The sequence below is a fragment of the Homo sapiens genome, chromosome 1, assembly GCF_000001405.40.
Source record: "Homo sapiens chromosome 1, GRCh38.p14 Primary Assembly".
Taxonomy (NCBI): Eukaryota; Metazoa; Chordata; class Mammalia; order Primates; family Hominidae; genus Homo; species Homo sapiens.
Genome location: NC_000001.11, coordinates 146,396,081 through 146,419,122, shown reverse-complemented (window position 1 = coordinate 146,419,122; position 23,042 = coordinate 146,396,081). Strand labels below are relative to the sequence as shown.

The 23,042-nt window shown below is 42.6% G+C and overlaps 1 long non-coding RNA gene and 1 other non-coding gene across 5 annotated transcripts in view; one reads left to right on the top strand and one right to left on the bottom strand.

Annotated features, from left to right (window-relative positions):
• LOC112268274 (uncharacterized) overlaps nt 1–23,042 on the top strand; it is a 43,044-nt gene that overhangs the window by 734 nt on the left and 19,268 nt on the right. The window contains exons 1-3 of one of the 4 annotated variants that reach the window (XR_007066568.1): nt 1,436–9,212; nt 17,502–17,625; nt 18,795–18,918. This is a non-coding gene — a long non-coding RNA (uncharacterized LOC112268274). Of the gene's footprint in view, nt 1–1,435; nt 9,213–17,501; nt 17,626–18,794; nt 19,101–23,042 lie in introns of those variants that run through there. The other 3 variants (XR_007066566.1, XR_007066567.1, XR_002958622.2) reach the window with 3 other exon arrangements.
• LOC124904634 (U1 spliceosomal RNA) lies at nt 9,061–9,220 on the bottom strand. Its single transcript, XR_007067136.1, has one exon. It is a non-coding gene; the product is annotated as a U1 spliceosomal RNA (small nuclear RNA).

Genomic DNA, 23,042 nt, shown 5'->3' with positions numbered 1-23,042 from the left:
AAAACAAATAGAAAGATGGTGGATTTGATTTTAGTTTTATCAATAATTATATAAATTCAAATAATCTAAACCCCCAGAATTTTTAAAAATGGGAGATAAAAAAACAATAAATATTATGTATTATTTGTTATCATCATTATTTTATAAAGGGACAGGGCATAGATTTGGACAGAAATAGTAAGTTTTACAATAAGAAATGTTACCAGAATTGCATAACATTTCATGATGTTAGAAGGGTCAATTCAACAAGAAGACACAACAATACCAAATATTGCCCAACAATAGAGCTTTAAAATATACAAAGAAGAAATATACAACAGAAAAAAGAAATGGATATATCCCGTTATTGTTGGAGACTGTAGATTCTAACCCATTTTTTTCAGTAACTAATAGAATGAGATAAGAAACCAGCAAAAGGATAGAAGAAAAACAATACTCTTAATCAGATTTACCTGATTGACTTTTCTAAAACAGTCCACTAAACAGCAATATAAAAGACATTGTTAGCAACTGCACATTTAAAACATTCACTAAAATTGATGATAATCTGGGCTATATAAACATGTCTCAGTACATTAAAAAGAATAGAAATCATACACAGTATGATCTCTAAGCACAACTAAATGAAACTAGAAATAAATAATTTCCAAATGTTCTGAAATGAAACAACACACTTCTAAAAATTCCTGAGTCAAGGAGGAAGTCACAGATGAACTTAGAAAGTATTTCAAAGAGAACGAAGATGAAAACAAAAACAGAATATATCACAATTTGTAGGATGCACTTAAAGTAGCCATTTGGGGAAATGTGATAGTATTACATGCTTATATTACAATGGGAAAAGTTCTGAAATTTGTAAATTTCAAATCATTCATGATATGTCAAGTCTTCTCAACTTGTTTTTCTTAAGGACTGTTTTGGCCTTTATTGTGTAGTTTATAAGTTCCACAAAATGTATTGGGAATTTATTGGAATTTTGTCAAACGTATATAATTTTGTCAAACTCAAGCATAATATAAATATGTTTGAGAATTAACATTATTATAAAAGTGAGACATTTAGCCTATGAATGTAGTACATATCACCCCTCATTTTGATGTTATTATTGTACAAAAGTTTTATATTATTGTATATAAAGACTTCGTAAACTATTTTTAAATTTATTCTTAAATTTTACACTTTTCACGAAATATGAAGTTAATCTTATAAATTATTATTTTTAACATTATTGCTGGTGTAAAGAAATACAATTCCTTTGGACAATGAATTCTGTATCTAGTAAACTCATTGAATTTGTTTATTAATTTAATTCATGTACAAATTTTTGGATTTTCTATTTAAATAATCATATTGAATGAAACTACTGCATTTTAATAGTTTCTCATTATTACATTTACATATTTACTCATCTTATTCCTAAACTCAAAGATAATATAGTTCACTCTTTAGTATAAGTACATTATACATTTAGTGTAGTACAGGTACATTATGAAGTGTAATGTTTACTAAAGCTTTTCTGTAAAATCTTTCTCAGGCTAAGAACATTTTTTTTTTTTACTAGAATATAATATTAACAAAACATATTCTAGAAAAGCGTAAAATTTACCAAATATTTAGATTTTTAATTTAAGCATCATGGAGAGAAATGACGCTCTCATGGTTGAAATGCAGAGGCTGGAGGCACAGATGTTCTTAGAGCTGCTATATTGTTTGAATCAACAGTGACGTATATAAGCAAAATTCCACAAAACCACAGATTTAACTGCCATTATTATTCAGAAGTATCTGGTGTTACTTCTGGTGTAACAAATGGACTATTGTTAGGATAAAGAATATCCATATGAAAAAGTGCTTTACATAAAGTAGAAACTTAAATAGTAACATAATCTGGGTACAATCCAACAATAATAATTAGAGCTTTGCTTTCCTGGAATACTATGTGCTAACCCTATTCTAAGGGATTTAGATAGAGATTTCACTGATTTCAAGAGAAACGTTTGTCTACTTGTTCAAATTTTAGTATCTGAAACTGCAATGTATCTTACATTAGATAAGCATAACTTAATTTCAGCATTATTTAATATTAGTGCATTAAAAAGTGTATGTCATTACCAATGGCATTTTAGATTTAGTGACATTTTGTATAATTTCATGAAACACTAGACACTATGGAATCATCTATAGTGTAAGGTCTACAAAAGCAGGAAATTCTATTTTAGTTACTCTTATAGGAGTCACTTGATAAATATATGTTGAATGAGTTGTCCAATGAAATAAATAAAGGCACAGCATTCTAGCATCATTCGAGGGGCAATAGTTCATCCTGTGGCCTCATAACACTTGAGCAATGATGTGGACATCACTTGGAAATGCTCAATTTAATCAGGTATGTTCATAATGAGGGCTTCTCATTTTTCTGTGAAAATACTAAAATATACTGTCTTTAGGGAGGAAGCAAACAATGTAATAAAATATAGAAAAATAGTTAAGCATGATTCAAATTAAAAGCCCTGGAATTTATAAAAATAAGCTTTATTTGTTAGGGAAAAAATTACATTGTGTAACACTCTATTCCCCATGATTCCTAGTAAATAAGACAATAAACCCTTTAAGAAGAACTTTGTCAGAAACAAAGGATCACTATTTCCCGAAGAGCTGCAAAATACCATAGGCCAGAATTAATACAGGTGATAACTGAGGTCATAAAAGCCATTTAGACAAGTTGAGTTGACAATGATCTAAGAAGGGCCAGGCCACTCTCCTGTGCCCCCTCCCTAAGCAGCTGCGCATTGCTTTGCTTTGACAACCTCCTTCCCATGCACCCCATCCCACACCCACAGCCCTGCTTGGAACTCTCCTAAGTTCCAGACTCACGTACTCGGCTGCCTCCTAGAGCCCTCTACCTGGAGACGTCCAGAACACTTTGAGTTCAGTATGCTCACAAGTGAAGTCATAAAGAGCCAAGAGTGCAGGATTGGGGTCAGGCAGCCCCATTTCTTAGTTATGCATAGACTTCTTAGTTTACTTGACCCTCTTCATTTTCAGATTTCATTTCTGTAAAATAGCAATGGGCTTTGTAGAATTGCTTTTAGAGTATTGTAAGATAACTTAGGTAATACCTCTAACAAAGAGTCAAACAGATATTGGACATATAACCAATATCTGGTACCGGCTTTCCCCTCCTTTCACAAGCTTAATGGCAATGCAGTTAAGTCAAGGACCTGGATCAGAATTACGGCATGAGGAACACACTCCATGTTTGTGCACACCCATTCCTGGATGACTTTTCAAGGGTCTTCTCTTTTCTTCCACCTGACAACAAGTTCTCCAACTTCCCTACTTGGAAGTGGCTGCCTGCCATGAGATAATCCCCTTTCTAATTTGTCCTCCCATGAACAATGCACCCAAGGAGTCCTTCCTCTTACTCCATGTCTCCTTGAGCCTGCAGAATGGAGCTCAAGTTTCCTAGAGCAGCCACGGTTCCCGCACCACCTCCCCTTCTGCCTTGTGGGCTGCCAAGCCTGCGTCCACCGTGCGCATGAACTCCAGCATCAGGAAGTTTCATGCGTGTGCCCCGTGCTCCTATCTGGGCTCACGTGAACGTGCTCTTCTCTCTTTCTGAAATGCCCCTTTCCTTTGAGCGATTGTGGAAATCCTCCTCATCTTTTACAACTAGTCTCAGATGCACCCTCCTTCCCGAAGCCTCCTCCGAATGGCCTGTCTACACATGGCCCAAACTTGGTTTCAGATCATTAAAATAGAAGGACAAAAATGAATGGTGTGCAGGGAACACACAGACAGCCTGTGGCATGGTTGGAAGCCGTGGTCTGATCTATGGCGAGTCCTGAGACCACGACTGTTCTATGATTTTTGCTGCAGCCCTGAGAACCCTGTAGGTCTGCTCAGGCATCTTGCTGCTCTTGCGATCGAGCCCTTTGTTTCTCTGCCTATCTTGTTTCCTGCTTTTCACTTTCTTGTTCTCACCTGGCTGATTTGTAAATAATAAAGTAACCGAAGTTAGACAATTCCAGCTACTTAAGATAACTGTGTTTCCAGGGAATCTGTTTCATGTGTAGAGAGGAAAAAATAAGTAGTCACAATCCTGGATTTTCTATGTGAATCAGTTTGCTTAGAGAGCAGCAGCTGTTAAAATATACATGTGATATTTGAGTTCAAACGGGAGCAGAAATTATACTTAGTGTGGGCCAAAGAAAGGCATTTCAATGACAGGGCTCTTTCATCTGGAGTGGCGTGCCTAATTCTGATTTAGAGAAAAGCAGGTCTGATCTTGTGCGGTGGAAAAGGAGGCCTGGGGCTGGGCATCAGAAAATCAGCTTTCAGACACTTCCTCCAGGTTGTAGCTGAGAAACTTGAGGCTCTTTAGTGAGATGAAAAAATAGTAGGCGTCTCATCCAGCACAGAACCATATTGTCACAGTGTACACACAGATGGCTGAAGGCAGAAAACACCACACCAGTTCAGTTCCCCCCAGTGAAACCTATCTTGCCTTGGTGGAAAGAAGTCACCAAATCTGAAGGTTTATCATGAACAGGCAAAAGAGTTTCACTTGTTTTCATGACTCAAAACATTTGGCTTAAACTGCATATCTCTCCATTTTAAATGTAAATTATAATAGGGAAACAGGAGGGAAATATGCAAGATTCTGGAAAACCTGAAGTTTCCATGTTTATCTTTTCTTTAGTTCCTTGCTCTTTAGAGTCAACCAACCCATTCCCTAGATATAGTTATAAAAAATGGCTGGGGTAAGAAAAACAAGTTCGGTGATATTTTTAAAACTGTATGCACAGTCACTTGGAGACCCTTGAATGATGTTAGGAGACTGAGCTTCCCATACTCACTGGGACACACACAGTTGCTCTTGTTTGTAAGAGAGGACGCTTCTGAAGTGTCATTTCCTCTGTTGCTAGTATCGGCCTGCCTTCCCCTTGACCCCTGCCTTGTGGTCACCACTGTATCACATGTCCACACCCTTCCTTGGCTGGGGCCCTGGAAGCCAGGGCATACTGAGTGGGACAGCTGGCAGGGGCTCGGGCTGGTGCGGTCACTGACAAAGAATCCTCCTCCAGCCTGTCAGTGGCAACTCTGCAGCTGTTGGCCCACATACCTGGCATACCTCCATCTCCAGGCAACTGCTGGGTGTGGGCAGGGATCCCAGCAGCACCCACTGGCGTCGGCTGCCTCCCACAATGCCAGCCCCCAGGTAGCCAAGAGGAGTCATCCAGGTGTCGGGGAGAGAAGCTGAGAGAAGCAGCGAGGGCGGTGGTTGTGGGAGAGAGGAGGAAGTTGGGAGGGTCACCCACACACTTACGGAAAGCTTGGTGCAAAGAGAAAGAGACCGCCTTTCAAAAACAGCCCTGCTCTACCATCCTGAACCTAGTCCCGATCATGCCTTGAAAAAATAGATTCCCAAGTGGGTCTTGCCTAAATAATGTAAGTGGACGTGGGAAAAGCACGGACTTGTCAGCAGTTTCAGAAGGTTCCTTGCTGCTGGTGACTTTGGAAAACTCCCTTAACCAGCGTGAGCCTCCATGTCCTCCTCCAGAGCAGGGGACTGTGTACCTTCCCCCAGGGAGGCCTGGAAGGATTTTGTTGGGTTTTCCTGATAAACTCACTCAGTGGATGAAAGGGGGGATGTTTGTAAAGTTGTCATATTTATGTTGAATGTAAGATCACTGAACTCTCACTGATATGCAGAAATCAACCTTAACGAGCGCTATCTGCAACACAAGAGATTTGTTTTCATGAGTACACACCTAGACGATGAACCTGTGCACACGACTTCACACTTTAAAAATGTCTCTTTTTTATCTTGCAGTTCTTTAAATACTAACAAGAATGGTTTTTAAAAGTGTTTTCAAATGTGAAAAAATACATATGACATAAAATTGATCATTAACCACTTAAGATGTGCGCAGGTCAGTGGCATCATGCACGTTGACAGTGCTGTGAAGCCATGACCACCATCCAGCCACAGAACCCTTTCATCTTGCAAAATTCAAACCCTGCACCCACTGAACAACAACCCCATTTCTCCTTCCCTCCAGCCCCTGGCAAGCACCATTCTATTTTCTCTTGCTATACATTTGACTATTCCAGGTACTTTATATTACTTTTAATGGCAAAAACCACAATAACTTCGCACCAACCTAAAATGAGTTGAATCGTGTAGTATTTATTTGTTTGTTTGTTTGTTTATTTTTTTGACTGGCTCACTTCGCTTAGCATAATGTCCATTGTTTATTATCAGCAATTACATTTTAAAATTTCTAATCTTAGAAAAAGAGGCATACTGTTGTCAATGAGAGGTCAGCAGTTTCAGAATATATGAATAGATGACAGACACAATAGACTTAAAAATTACTACCATTCGTTGTGCCAAGAAAACTTGCAAAAGTGTTCTTTCTCTGATGTAAGCATGCCAAAGGTCTGAATGTGTACACATGTATGTTACTTCCCCCACTCCTCTTTTCTTTCATTTTTATCTTTACTTTTTTCTAGGTAAGGACCGATTTTATTGTGGGGTGAAAAGTAACATAGAGCTGTACATTTTAAAGTGACTTGTATTCTCTATGTTAAGCTCAGTAAGTTGCCTCTGCTGCAGGTTGTAGGTATCTGTGTTTAGCCCTGCATACTATCTGCCCATTTCCCCTGCCTTTAGCACAGCTTGCTTCTCCCCATCCCCACAACCCTGCCTAATTCTACTTGCTTTCTTTGACTCACTCATGAAGATTAAGTAGGTACTAAGTAAAATACAAGTATTTTACTTATATCTAAATCTCATGCCTTTTTAACAATATCAATATTACTTTTCTCACTTCAGAGATAAGGAAACTGAGGCTCGAAGATCTTATGTAACTGCCTATAGCCTAGCATCCATCTCAATGGGCGTCAAGAACTAGATCGAGTGTGTTTTGAGACAAATCCCAGAGGCTGCCCTGCACAGGATGTGGCAATCATCACTGCCTTAGTCATCTGACTTTTGGTTTTTGTTTGTGTGCTTGTTTGAGACAAGAGTCTTGCTCTGTCACCCAGGCTGGAGTGCAGTGGCACAATCACTGCCTCCTGCAACCCTTGCCTCCTTGGTTCAAGTGATTCTCCTCCCTCAGCCTCCCAAGTAGCTGGGATTATAGGTATATCCCACCACACCCAGCTAATTTGTGTGTGTGTGTGTGTGTGTGTGTGGTTTTTTTTTTAGTAGAGATGGGGTTTCACCATGTTGGCCATGCTGGTCTCGAACTCCTGACCTCAAGTTATCTGCCCACCTCGGCCTCCTAAAGTGTTGGGAATACAGGCATAAGCCACCATGCCCGCCCCTGACTTTTGCTTTCTATTGGGCTTACCTGTGTATTCTCACACTCTCGGGAGAACTCAACACTCCTGAAGAACACAGCCCATGACTCCTCATTTCTGTCTCCTGGCAAAGGCTAGCACAATATTTTGTGCAAAGGTTTTGCTTTCTTAATGATAAGTGAATGAAATATGGAAAAGTTTTAACATAAAAATATATTCAAGTTAGCATTTTGCCTGAAATTTATACTTAATTACATCTAGGAAATTAAGTGTACATGATCAACATATATGTATATATCATTTTCCTATTTGAGTACTGACAAGATGGAGGAAAGGCAAGGAAAAGCTGGAGAATTTGAAATATGCACGAGGTCATTTCCATTCCAGAAATAGGAGACATAAAGTAGAGGTCGAGATCATTGACAGTGGGCTTTCTCGAGTCGGGTAGAGAAGGGGTCAGTCCTTCTAGAGCTGGATCCAACCATGTGTGGCTCTCTACCCAAGGGTATCCACCTGCTCTCCATTCCCTCATCTGTCCACTGGGGTGCACACAGCACCTCTCATGGGAATTAAAAACGGTGGTGCCTGAGCAGCTTTCAAGGAGCCAGTGGCACTCGCTGCTCAGTGCACATGAGCTAGAGAGGAGTGGAGGCCTCAGCACAGGGCCTGGTACTAACTCGAGAGATATTTGTTGTGCTCTATACCCAGCAGATACTGAGTACATGCTCAATGTTGTCATTATTTTGATAGATATTTTCTTAAATCTGGATTATCATCCTTCAGTTTGGATAAGACAGACAATATTGATGGGTTGGGGTACTTTGTCAAAGAATGTAAAGAAAGATAATGTGAAGAAAGGCAATTTTGTGATTAAAAAGGAAGCTTTATTCTTAGATTTGTTAATAAGTGTCTCTTACTGAATTATTTGCTTATTAGGCAAAACAGTGATATCATTGAATCATTCTAAAATTCCTTCCCTTTTATGTCTTGAGGTTATGAACACATGTAAGGCACCTCACCTGGCATCTGACAAACTCAACGAGACAATGAATGAACCAGAATAAATAATCATCTATTTTTTTTTCTCCCTGAACATTTCTACAGTTGAGACAGTCTTAGAATTTCTCTCTTGCATGCCAGGATATTAGACTGTTGAAATTGAATTCTTTTTTTTTTTTGAGACGGAGTCTCGCTCTGTCCCCCAGGCTAGAGTGCAGTGGTGCGATCTCGGCTCACTGCAACCACCGCCTCCAAGGTTCACGCCATTCTCCTGCCTCAGCTTCCCGAGTAACTGGGACTACAGGCACCCGCCACGACACCTAACTAATTTTTTTGTATTTTTTAGTAGAGACGGGGTTTCACCGTGTTAGCCACGATGGTCTTGATCTCCTGACCTCGTGATCCGCCTGCCTCGGTCTCCCAAAGTGCTGGAATTACAGGCGTCAACCACCGCGCCCGGCTGAAATTGAATTTCTTTCTTTTCACCAACTCGAATTTCTTCTTCTCATGTAAGGTCATCTTACATAAGTGAGACTCCTTTGTTCCCTTTCCCTTAATAACAAGCCTACACGGAGGCGAAGGTGGTGAACGCACCTCTTCTCATCTCAAAACACCCACGTGCTCTTCCATTTTTTTCTAACAAAGAAGGGAGAGGAGGTGACATGAAAACACACCATGGATATTGCTCAGCATTTGTAAAAGCTGAAAGTATCACTTGGTACACAAACTGCTTTTTGCACTACAACCTCCAGAAGAAAGCGAACGCAATTCCCCACCACCACAAATTACAGTCCAGTTTCCCCACATGTGGAAGTAACAGGAGTCAGTCAGCACATACTGAGTACAATGGAGAAATCGCCCCCGAAAAACACCAACTTCATGGCCGTATTTTCTCCTGTTACGTAAGTATGAATGAACGCACCTCCGCCCTGCCACAGCTCCATACGCCTCACCCCTTACACGCACGGTCACTTGCCCCGCGCATTCCCCCACCCCGCCCCCATGCCGCCTCAAGTCCTCCTAGCCCTGACACACAGCTGGGACTATCACGTCCAACCGGAGGTCCTGGACTAGCTCCCACAGCACGAGAAATCTTTCGTGGCGAAGCAGCAGCCCCTGAGCTGCCTCCTCTGCATAGGAATCGCCCTATCTGTGATGTCACCGACAGCGCCTTTCCCGTCCCCGTCTGCTCTTCCGCCCCACCCTCTGCCACTCGGCCGACCAACCAGCTGCGGGAGCGGGCGGAGAAAGTGACACCTGACTCTACCTCCTTTCCCTCCCATCCCCATCCCTGGTCTCTCCCAAAGAAGTAGGTTCTTAGCCTGTGATGCAAAGGACCCCTTTGGCGGCCAGCTGGAGCCTGTGCGCTTTTCTTCAAATAATGGCTTTTAAAGCTCAGACTAGAAAGTTTAGGATTACAAAGAAAAACGGTTCTTTTCACATACGGTTATCCTTGTGATGTAGCATTTCACTTGACATTTGGAAGTCGTTCAATATCAGAGAGAAACCGTATCTATGAAACTGGAGAGGCTGCTCAGATGACTGCAAACCAGCCATCCTTACTTGTTTTATCACTAGGAGTATTATAAAGACGGTCGTCCAGTTTCATGAATCTTGTAGGGTTTTTTTCAGATACAGCAATGTACAAAAATGTGCTGCCCCAGCAGAGCACACTGGACATTCAGGCATGGTGCTGGAGTTTGTCATCTCTTCACTGCCTTCTCTAGACCTTAGCGCTTACCTCATGTTAACACTTTATATGCTGCGAAGACAGAAACACAGTCATCCAAATTTGGCAAAAATATTTGGGAGAAATTTTATTTCAGGTGTTTAACTGATTACTTTTAATATGTAGACTACAACACCAAACTCTGAGAATACTCCACAGACTTATTAATGGTTTCCACCCCCATCTCTGCAAATCTATCAGGCAAGTTTTTCCCGCCCTTTACTTTCATATAAGCTGAGTCACAGTCTGTAGTGGGTTTTGGGGGGAGTGTTACTGCCCAACAGGTACACCCTGCCTGCTGCCTAGACAGAGCCAATTTTTCGACACAGGGGAATTGCAATAAAGAGCTGCACTCTTTATTTGGTGATTGGGGGCCGGTGAATTGAGAGTTCTGCTTGGCCAGGTCGGAGATGAAATCACAGGGAGCTGAAGCTGTGGTCTTGTGCTGGGTCAGTTCCTGCTTGGGGGCCACAAGACCAGCTGAGCCAGGTTATCAGTCTAGCTGGTGCCAGCTGATCCATTGAGTGCAGGGTCGGCAAAATATCTCAAGCACTGATCTTAGGTTTTCCAATAACGATGTGATCTCCAGGAACAATTTGGGGAGGTTTAGAATCTTGCAGCCAGAGGCTACATGACTCCTAAACCATAATTTCTAATCTCGTGGCTAATTTGTTAGTCCGGCAAAGGCAGTCTAGTCCCCAGGCAGGAAGGGGGTTTGCTTCGGGAAAGGGATATTATCATCTTTGTTTCACAGCTAAACCATAAACTAATTTCCTCCCAAAGTTATTTCGGCCTGTGCCCAGCAATCAACAAGGACAGCTTGTACGTTAGAAGCAAGATGGAATCAGTTAGATCAGATCTCTTTCACTGTGGTAATTGTCCCAGTTGTAATTTTTGCAAAGGCGGTTGCAGAAGCAGAGGCATAGGTCTGACTTCTTTCACTCAGTCCTATGTCTATGAATTTTTCATGTTATTCATATGGTTATTTGGTTCTACGTGTATTCCTTTGTAGGAATATACATTAACTTATGTATCTATTCTACTGTTGTTGAACATGTTGACCTAAAAGAAGGAGGCTGAAGCACAAAATATAATTTAGAGTTTACTTGAGTCAACATGAAGACAACTGCCTGGAAGACTCACACCAAGGAAGCTTGGATTTGAGCTCCCTTTGGCCTTTGTCACAAGCAGGTTTTTATTTTTTATTTTTTATTTATTTATTTATTTTGAGATGGAGTCTCACTCTGTTGCCCAGGCTGGAGTGCAGTGGCGCGAACTCTGCTCCGCCTCCCGGGTTCTCGCCATTCTCCTGCCTCAGCCTCCCTAGTAGCTGGGATTACAGGCACCCGCCACCACGCCCAGCTAATTTTTTTTGTATTTTTTTAATAGAGACGGGGTTTCACCGTGTTAGCCAGGATGGTCTCGATCTCCTGACCTCATGATCCGCCTGCCTCGGCCTCCCAAAGTGCTGGGATTACAGGCGTGAGCCACCGCACCCTGCCCACAAGCAGGTTTTTAAAGTTCAAAAGCAGGGACAGACAGTGGGCTGATAGGTGCCTATCAGGAATTCTCATTGGTTTACAGAAATAACATTGCTTGGTGATTGGCTATATGTTGTTAAGTTATAGGGTATGGGGGTATAGGGATTGGTGTGGCATTATTAGGTTAATTTACAGCTACTTGAGGCAATAGCAAGCAGTTTCAACGGATGAATACATAGCTCAGCGCAGCTCAAAAGGAAGGAGCGGAAAGTGGTTGCTGTCTCGATTTAACGTCTCTCTGGGCCTGATCATTTGAAAGGGCTCACATTCCTCAGATAAAAAGTTTTTTTAATCTTTCTTCTTGAAAGCATCGATGATCAAAAGCTAAGTCAAGGGTGTCCCTCTTTGCCAGAAAGGTTCATTCCCGGATAGTCCTGTCCCAAGCAGGGGACAGGGGAGGAAAGAAGCCACCTCACTGAGGAATTTTTAAGAATGCCCAAAAGTCCAATTGAAAGGGCATTACAGCCAGGCATGGTGGCTCACACCTGTAGTCCCAGCACTTCAGGAGGCCAAGATAGGTGGATTGCCTGAGTCCAGGAGTTCAAAACCAGCCTGGGCAACATGGTGAAACCCCATCTCTACAAAAAATACAAAGTTAGCCAGGTGTAGTGGCACACACCTTAGTCCCAGCTATTCAGGAGGCTGAGGTAGGAGGACTGCTTGAGCCTGGGAGTTTGAGGCTGCACTGAGCTAATATCACACCACTGCACTCCAGCCTGGGTGACAGAGTGAGACTCGGTCTTAAAAAAAAAAGGGCATCATAGAGTGGCAAAAAAAAAAAAAAAAAGAGAGAGAGAGAGGGGCCTCAGTTAAGTCTACAGCTGCTGTCACTTATTGAATCATCTCTACTCTTCAGAATACCATGAAATTAGTTTTCCCAGAAGTAAAACGATGAGAGATACATAACAATAATGACATTGCACTTCATCATTCCATGCCCTTCGACATTTATAGGGCCATGGATGGTGATCTTTTCAAGAGACAAAAATAAACGCCGAACAGGTAAGTGCGCTATAATTTGAGTACATCAGCTTTTGGGCATTTAAACCATGGGTCAGAAATGTAGAGCAAGAGGGCAGGTTGGATCCTGATAGCAGGAGGGAGTGTTTTTCTTTTAACTTTCCAGTGGCATCATGGTGTTAACCACTGTTATTTCAGAGTGAAGAAACAATTTTTTGTTTGGTTGGTTTTGTACTTTTTATTTTTATTATAATTACTTTTTAAGACAAGGACTCTGTCTCCCAGGCTGGAATTCAGTGACAAGATCACAGCTCAGTACAGCCTTGACCTCTTGACCTCCAAGGCTCAACGGCTCATCCTCCCAAGCAGCTGGGACTACAGGCACACACCACCACACGCAGCTTATTTATTTATTTTTTGAGACAGGGTCTCACTCTGTTGCCCAGGCTGGAGTGCAGTGGCGTCATCAGGGTTCGCTGCAGGCTTGAACTCCTTAGCTCAAGTCATCCTCTCACCTCATGCTCCTGAGTAGCTGGGACTACAGGTGGGCACCACCACACCCAGCTAATTTGTATATATTTTATAGAGTCAGTGTTTCACCATTTTGCCCAGGCTAGTCTCAAACCCCTGTGCTCAAGTGATCCTTCTGTCTTGGCCTCCCAAAGTGCTGGGATTACAGGCAGTTATTTTGACAATACGATTACGATGGGTTAAACTGAGACGTGCGGCAGGAAGGTTAGGGTGAGTCAGACAGATTAGATAAACAGGTTTTGCTTGATATGACCCTGAGTTGCATCGTGAGTGCAATCAGGAGGAATACAGGTGAAATTTAGCACAGGATGTACCAATGGGTCATTATGGTCAAAAGTGGTTTGTGGTTTTGAGTGGCAAACCTGGAACCTTGTCAAATTTCCCACAGAGGTAATGGTTTGTGAGATTCTAATCAGAGAATTATCCCTCCCTGCTGTAATCAAATTAATTAGGGACAGTAAAACAGAAATCTGATCACAGGTATTCTGCTATGTATGTATGTATGTATATGTATATACACATACACGCAAGAGGAGTAGTGTGTCATATCTTAAGAGAATATGCATATAGGGTGATTTTACCAAAACCACCAAGAGACAACCCCTACAACTTAAAGGAGCCCTAATGGTGTATGTATTCCAGTCAGCAAAAAAGAGACTAACTCTCTCAGGCACGGTCAGCACTGGAATTGTAACTGATTATACAGGCCAATATCTTGGGTGAAAGCGGACTACACCAGATGTCAGCTACTTGCCATCTCTGTCAGGAAGATTGTGAGTTACCTCTAAGTGAAAATCTCCACTGACAGATGTCCACTCTGGTAGGGTTGCCTTTTACAAGAGAAACATGAATCCATGTGTCAACGCCCTTAAGTTTACTGGCCTAGATTGGTCAGTAATACCTGTCGTCAGTTAGGTGCAGTGGCCTATGCCTGTGGTCCCAAATATTTGGAAGGTTGAGGCAGAAGGGTGGCTTGAGCCCAGGAGTTCAAGGCTACAATGAGTCATGATTGTGCCACTGCATTCTGGCTTGGGGAATAGAATGAGATCCCATCTCAAAAAAAAATATATAAAGTAATAATAATAGCTGATGTGGTCCCTTCCAACAGTCTTGGGGAGAATATTTTATTTGATGTTGTTTCCAGTAAACAACAACATCTCCAGGTTATAGGCCAAGATTTTTGATATTTTCATCTCCCAGGAGTTCATTATGAATGGAATTCTTTGTTAATGTAGAGTTCTTAGTAAGTTCTGTGAGATCTTAGCAGTAATGGAGAATGTCACCTTTAAGAAGTGCAGATTCATAAGCGCCTTCATCTAACCACTGCAAGGGTCTTCCTGTTATTATTTCAAAGAGGGAGAGTGTGGACATTTTCCACAACCAGTGGGAGATCCTTGTCCAAGAAAGGTTAAAAACTTCTGTTAGCTTTGCCAATTGAGTTTTTATTGTATCATTAGTGCATTCCATCGGCCCAGAGGATTAGGGGTGACAGGCACAATGGAAATGTTGGGACTTAGGCAAAAATGTTACAAATGGATCAAATTACCTGACCAACGAAGTGTGTTCCTCGGTTTCTATGGAGTTCAGATGGCACCCCCCATGAGGAATTACCTTTTCTAATCACAATCTACCTACTACTTGGGCTGTGGCTCATCGGCATGGAAATGCTCACCCCAGTGAGCATATACAAATTAGCACCAGAAAGTATCTGTGACCCTGAGATGGAGACAGCTGGATAAAGTCTAACTGCCATTTCTCGAAGGGTCCCAAAGGCAAAATGTCCCTGTGACCCATGAAGGGGTTTTCCAGGATTATGTTTGGGACAGACAGTATGGCAAGACTAAACATTTTCTGCAATCATAGGCAATGATTTTCAATACCATTGCTTTCCCCATGCCAACATTTTGTCTGAATTCCAATGAGTCAGCTTATGAAGTACTGTAAAAGGGTAATTGAAGCCTAAGGGATAGATCAGTGTATCATTGGGCCCATACCATATGACTGTTTCTGGAAGAAATTTGTTCCCTTTATCCTTCCAGAGATCCCTCTCCTGCTTGGGAGCTCCTACTTATGCTTCTTTTTTTTTTTTTTTTTTTTTTTTTTTTTTTGCCAGAGTCTTGCTCTGTCACCCAGGCTGGAGTGCAGTGGTGCAATCTCACCTCACTGCAACCTCCGCCTCCCAGGTTCAAGCAATTCTCATGCCTCTGCCTCCCAAGTAGCAGGGATTATAGACATGTGTCACCACACCAGCTAATTTTTGTATTTTTAGTAGAGACAGGATTTCACCATGTTGGCCAGGCTGGTCTCAAACTCCTGACCTCAGGTGATCCGCCAGCCTTGGCCTCCCAAAGTGCTGGGATTACAGGCATGAGCCACCATGCCCAGCCCACTTGTACTTCTAATGAAGTCTTCAATGGGTCATAAGTCAGCAAGGTCATTTCGAGGAGTTCTGTGTCTGATGTCACCTTCAGAGCTGCATTCTTAGCTGCAGCATCAGCAAAATGATTGTCCTTGCTCTCCAGAATGTCTAATTTTGAATGAACACGAATTTTGATGATGGCCAAAATTTGGGTCTTCAAATTGCTTCTAAGAGGTCAGAGATTTATTGGTCATTTTTGATGGCTTGACCTGATGAAATCAGATACCTATGTTGCTTCTAAAGCATTCCAAAATCATCACCTACTCCAAATGCATCTCTGCTCCCAGTGTAAATGTTAGGCTGAGGTGGAAGGATTGATTGAGCCCAGAAGTTCATTCAGGTCCAGCCTGGAAAACACAGCAAGATGTCCTCTCTACAAAAAAAAAAATCAAAGAATTAGCTGGGCATTGTGGCATGCACCTGTGGTCCCAGCTACTCGGGAGGCTGAGGTGGGAGGATTGCTAGAGCTGAGAGGTTGAGGATGTGGTGGGCCATGATGGAGCCACTGCACTCCAGCCTGGGTGACAGAGTGAGGCCCTGTCTCAATCAATCAATCAATAAATCTTAACCACTTAAAATACCAATGACAGATTTGCTTGGCCTTTTAAGTGCATTGCTGAATTCTCCCATCTACATTTTTGGGAACAACCTGGGGAATGGCAACATGGAGGTATTTGGCCAAAATGCAGACCCTTTCATTGTCTGCTTTAGTCTGTTTTTAAAAATCCTCTAAAGAATTATTCCAATTCGCCCTTTTCAACCATTTAGTGGCCCTGCCTTCTTACACCACATGTGAATTAATTGATAAAAATCAGAATATTCGGGCTAAAAGTTTGGACAATTAAGTCAAATTTTCTCCCAAACCCTATAGGATCTTGGAGGCTGCTTTAGAATTAGAAGGGGAAATTGATTTAAATTTCGATCAGGGAAGTCTTTTTTATTTTTTATTTATTTATTTATGTATTTTGATACAAAGTCTTGCTCGGTCACCCAGGCTGGAGTGCAATGGTGCAATCTTGGCTCACTGCAACCTCCACTTCCCGAGTTAAAGCGATTCTCCTGCATCAGCCTCCCGAGTTGCTGGGATTGCAGTCATGTACCACCATGACCGGCTAATTTTTGTATTTTTAGTATAGACCGGGTTTCACCATGTTGTCCAGGCTGGTCTCGAACTCCCGACCTCGTGATCCGCCTGTCTAGTCCTCCCAATGTGCTGGGATTACAGGCATGAGCCACTGCGCCCGGCCCAGGGAAGTCTTTTATAATATTCTTAATTCACATTTTGGTGAAGCAGTATACAGAATGGTAGGCTCCCCTCTTCCTGTGGAAGCCCCTACCTTGAAAGGGGCTGTCAGAACAGAAGTTTCAGGGGAGGGGCTAGAGCCCTGGGGACTTTCCTCAGGTGATGGTGATGGAAGAAGAGGCAAGGCAGGACCGGAGGGCTCAGGTAAGGGAGACTATGCAGGTGCAGGGGCAGGAGGAGAAGGAGCAGTTGGAGGCAAAAGAGACAAAGCCTCCTCAATATTTCTCAATTCAGAAAACGTGTCAGTTTACCTCCTTCAGCTTACTTCCTCACTGGAGGCAATTTTCGCAGTTCTTTTAGAAATTTCTAGGTATTATTGGAAGTAAGTCTCCCATTTAATTTGGTTCTAAAACCAAATTTTTCCAATTGTGCACACTAATAAATTATTTTAAGCATTTCAAAATATCCCCATTTTCTTCATTCTGCTTATGAGTTTTCCTGGTTAGGTGGGCCCAGTTTCTTGGATATTTACAAGAGGACGCTTCATAAGTGTTATACATAAACCCAGCTGATGTTTCTAAAGGTGGTTGTTTCTTCACAGTGTGCTAAATTTTGAAGCTTGATTTCCCATAATTCAGGAGCTTTTCAGATGACCAAGGCCTGTGATGTGTTTTGGGTCACAGTGTGGTGCTTATGAAGTCACTCTGACAGATAACACCGGAGTTGTGTATCGCTGTCTCAGTGGTTCCCACTGTTTCTAACCACCAGGTGGCCACAGAGTGCATGTGCTATGAGGGACCCGTCCGACATATACCCTCCCAGAAGAGCAGGAAAGGGGGTTCATAAAGATGTTCTTCTGATGGGGAGTGTCCTATAAGGCCACCTTCACATGGTGAGTAATGACCCCAACACCTCTGCAACATCCCCGATCACTTGGAGCACCTGAATGGATCAGCGGGAGCAGATCACTTCTTTTCTTCAGGGCAGGGGAATGCACCTCCATGCGCTTTCCAGTTAAGAACTAACAGGAATTAGTCACAAATGAAAAGCTAAGCCTGAATGTTCAAAACAACATGCTACATAAAATGACACCACCAGGGCCTACCTGCCAATACCTTGACCCAGAACTTCCTGCTGAGGAACAGAGGCAGGAAAGGCAGAAGCTCTCTGGAGAGCTCTTTGCCTGACTGTGACCCAAACTTTCTGTCCTGATGCAGAGGTGGAAAAGGCAGTTATTTCCCCCTGAGACTCAAACCTCTTACCCACAGGGTAAAGACAGAAAACCTCCATTCTAGAAAGGGAGAGCTGGAAAGGACACTCAAGCAAAGTCCAGGCCTTCAACCAAAGAGTGGGAAGGTCCAGATTTCAGGAGGATTCCCCACTTACTACTGCCCAACTGTTTCTCTCAGAGTCCAAACTCGAGGGCTTCAGAGCTGGCCAGGCACCCAGTCCAGGAGGAATGTGGTGTGATCTGAGAGATGAAAATACATGCCCCCTTATAGACTAAGACAGACTGTAAGGTTAAGGAAACAAAAGTTAGCTACAGGTCCAGGGTTCAGGGCTCATCTGGCATGGCAACGTCCTGAATTCCTATGGCTACAGGAAAAAACACACTGTTGCTAAACTCCTTAACAATAGGGGCTAGCAAGCAAACTGTCAAAATCTTCCCAGCCCTTCTCAACTGGATTTACAACCCAGATCACTAGAGCTCTGATGGGACAGAGGAGTGGCCTTCCATTCTTTCCCGATAAGCAACTGCAGATATCAAGCCAGTTTCAGCCATGTTACAGGGACTGCACACAAACTGACTTCGTGTCCAGTAGTTCACCTTTTGACATAAACAGCCAATTTCCACCTCATTTTAATGCTAAAATCCCTTCCCAATGTGAAGATGGGGTGCATGTTACATATATGTTTACCCGTTGCACATGAGCTCAATACCCCTCAGAAATGGCGTTTCCCCAAACCTGCTGAATATGTATGACTCTATTGTGTGATACACACCCTGTGAGGCACAAAAACCAACCTGCCCTCTCTCTCTCTCTCTCTCTCTCTCTGAAGAGAAAGCACCTCTTCAAAGACACACACCAGAGACTGTCTCTTCCCGGACTGCAAACTGATCTCACCAATAAAATTCTACCTACTATGTAGCCACCCTGGAGGCCTTTGAGAGGACGGTCAGATGGTCAGAGATAAGTTGCTCTGAATCCTGCTCCCAGGGCCAAAAACATCGACCTAGAAGGAAGGGGCTTAAGCACAACATATGATTTAAAGAGTTTGTTTGAGCCAGTGTGAGGATAGTTGCCCAGAAGGCTCAGAGCCAAGCAATCTTGGATATGGGTTCTGTTTGGCCTTTGTTACAAGCAGGTTTGTAAAGACCAAAAAGGGAGACAGGGAGTTGGCTGGTAGAAAGTTGCTTGTCAGGAACTCCCAGTGGTTTACAGAAATAACATTGATTAGGGATTAGCTATACATTGTTCAGCTACAGGGAATGAGAGATGGTGTCCAGTGCACGTGATTAGGTTACTTTATAGCTAACTGTGGCAATAGCAAGCAGTTTCAGTGGATGAATACATAGCTCAAAAGTGGGGAAGTGGCCGGTGGTGGTCATAATTCACATTTTGGTGGGCCAAGTTGGGCAGATCACCTTAGGTTAGGAGTTTGAGACCAGCCTGGCCAACATGACGAAACCCTGTATCTACTAAAAATACAAAAAAAAAAAAAAAAAAATAGGGGAGCATCGTGGTTCGCGACTTCAGTCCCAGCAACTCGGGAGGCTATGGCAGGAGAATTGCTTGAACCTGACTGGAGGAGGTTGCAGTGGGCCAAGATCCTGCCACTGCACTCCAGCCTGGGCAACAGAGTGAGACTCCATTTCAATACAATAAAAAAAATTTTTTTAACTTAAAAGATTTTAGAAAGCAGGAAGTAGGATGTGGTTGCTGTCTCATTTTAATGCCTAGCTCTGGGCATGCTAAGTTGAAAGCACTCATTTTCTTCACATGAAAAAGTTCTTTTCTTTTCTTTTTTTTTTTAGAGACACACTCTCACTTACTGTGCCACCCATAAAGTGAAGTGGCATCATCTCTGCTCACTGCAACCTCCACCTCCAGGGATCAAGCGATTCTCAAGCCTCAGCCTCCCAAGTAGCTGGGATTACAGGTGCCAGCCACCATGCCTGGCTTATTTTTGTATTTTAGTAGAGATGGGGTTTCACCATGTTGGCCAGGCTGGTCTCGAACTCCTGACCTCAGATGATCCACCTGCCTCGGCCTCCCAAAGTGCTACGATTACAGGCGTGAGCCACCATGCCCAGCCAATACCATTAATTTAATCTACAGCTAAATCTATTATTTTTTCATGTTACAAATTCAACAAGAAAATTTTTCCCTAATGAAACATCACATTTAAAGCATAAGTAGAATTAAAAAATGTAATAGACAGTGTCTTGCTGTGTCATCCAGGTGAGAGTGCACTGGTGCAACCACAGCTGACCAACCTGGAACTCTGGGCTCAGGCAGTCCTCCCAGCTCAGCCCGCCTTTTAACTTCTTAGAGATGGCATCTTGCCCTGTTGCCCAGGCTGGTCTCCAACTCCTTGCCTAAAGCAATCCTCCCACATCAGCCTCCTGATTTTCTGGGATTACAGGTGTGAGTCAACCAGCCTGGCATTGCAGGAAAAAAAAAAAGTCAAGAAATTATTCTTCATTTTCTTTTATTTTGAGTTGAGGTCTTACTCTGTCACCCAGGCTGGAGTGCAGTGGTACAATTATAGTTCACTGCAGCCTGGATCTCCTGGGCTCAAGCGATCCTCCTGCCTCAGCCTCCCAAGCAGCTGGGACTACCAATGTGAGCCACTGTGCTGGCTAGTTTTTTAAAATCAGCTCATTTTTAAATTTGTAGAGACAGGGGTCTCACCATATTTCCCAGGCTGGTATCAAACTCCTGACTTCAATCCTTCTTCTCTCCTCAGCTGCCTAAAATGCTAAGATTACAGGTGTGAGCCACCACACCCTGCTTAATTTCCATATTTTAATTTTATATACGTAATTATTACTGTCCTTAAGATAATTGGGGCAGTAATCTCTTTAAAGTTTTAGAGACTTAATTTATCTATTCACTCCACTGGAAGAGTATGCCAATTGGTTTCATAAGAAAATATATTTATAAATCAGAAAATTTCTTTCCACCAATCTAGGGGGCATTCGAAAGCAAATAATTGTGTTAAGTAACATCGTTTAAAGTGAAAACAGATGCAATGGTATTTATTAACAAGGCTTATCAGTGAGCGAAACAAACTGAAAAAAGGAACATCATTAGATCCTTGGAAAACCCTCAGTGCTGAAAATCTGAGTGATTCTGTGATACCCTTTTGAGTCTGGCAGGGCATTCTCTTTCCCCAGCATATAAAAGTGAGTAAATCATTTCTTTTCATCCATTTTCATTAAGAGCTGAACTTCCTTGATGTTCTGGAGATTATTAAATTTGATTTGTGGCCAGGCGCAGTGGCTTACGCCTGTAATCCTAGCACTTTGGGAGGCCAAGGTGGGCAGATCACTTGAGTTCAGGAGTTCGAGGCCAGCCTGGCCAACATGGCCAAACGCCATCTCTACTAAAAATACAAAAATTAGCCAGGCATGGTGTCACACGCCTGTAATCCCAGCTACTCAGGAGGCTGACGCACAAGAATCACTTGAACCCGGGAGGCCAAGGCTGCAGTGAGCCAAGATTGTGCCACTGCATTCCAGCCTTGGTGACAGAGCGCGACTCTGTCTTAAGCAAAAAAAATTTTTGATTTGTATAGTTGTGAGAAGTGCTTATGTTGCTGACTCCATTGCTTATTTGTGATCATATAAATCTCTTTTCCCCTTTCTGTAGTGTGATTTAAACTTAATCCTTAAAGGACATGTGTTTCAGCTGGTTAGAGGTTTTTAGCTACTAGAAACCTGAGTATACGAATCAAAGAAAACTGCTCCTTACCTGCCACAGACTTAGTTTTCTTTCTGTACTAAGATTTCTTTCAGGTATAGTAATTTGTTAAAGCCAAGAGCTCCTATGGAATGAAGTTAGGTGGCGGGAGTGGGTGGGGCATTGAGTAGTAAGATCGTCCTTATAATAGAGATGCCGCTCTTGCAGATATTGACAGCTATCGGGCCCAAAAAATTGTTACCAAACATTGGAAAGACAAGATATGAGCAAATTCTGATTGCTGCAGTCTCAAATATCAAGAAATACCATTATCCTCAGGACAATGAATAGACAATCAAAAAAGACTCACAGACTAGATTAGCTGTCATGTATCACCAAACACCTTGTCAAACACCACCCAACAGAGATTGTCCCCAGAAATTCATTTCATAACATCAAAACCAGAAACCCACACTGATGCCACTGATGGCAGAAAACAATGATGCAAGAAAGAGAGAGAGGGAGATAGAGAAAGGAAGGACTTGCCCAATGACCATACTTAGTATATAAAAGCAAAACAGCTCAATTTCTGCTCATGAGAACAAGAACTGAGGGAACAAGAACCAGTGGCTCTAAGGATCCAGGTCTGCACCAGGGGCCTGTTAGGTGCAGGATTCTGTTGGCTCCAATGATGGGTGTCAGATGGATTAATTTTTATGGACATAGCCTCTGAAAGAAATCAGTCGAGGAATAATACAGAGACACTTGTCTGCATGCTCATTCTCCATCAATATAGAAGAGGAACTGGCATTAGATTGTGTTCATCAAATAAAAGTAAAATCAACATTTATAAAGAAAAGAGGAAAGGGGAGGAGAAAAAAATGACTGGGACCATTGTGATTTTGCTCCCTTTGGATAAGCAACTTGGCAGAAAGCTATCAAAGAGGTCACTATGACCTGTCTTCTCCGGACCAGTGTGACTTGGTCACCACAGCAAACAATTACAGGCTGGGCACAGTGGCTCATGCCTGTAATATCGACACTTTGGGAGGCGGCGTGGGCGGATCACTTGAGCTCGCAAGTTGGAGAGTAGCCTGGGCAACATGATGTAACTCTGTCTGTACAAAAAATACAAAATTTAGCCAGGCATGGTGGTGTATGCTAGTAGTCCCAGCTACTCAGGAGGCTGAGGTGGGAGGATCACCTGAGCCTGGGAAGGTTCAGGCTTCAGTGAACCATGATTACACCACTGCACTCCAGCCTGGATGACAGAGTAAGACCATGTCTCTAAAATAAATTAAGTTTGAAAAAGAAACAGGGCCAGGCACGGTGGCTCACACATATAATCCCAGCACTCTGGGAGGCCAAGATGGGAGTATCACTTGAGCTCAGGAGTTCGAGA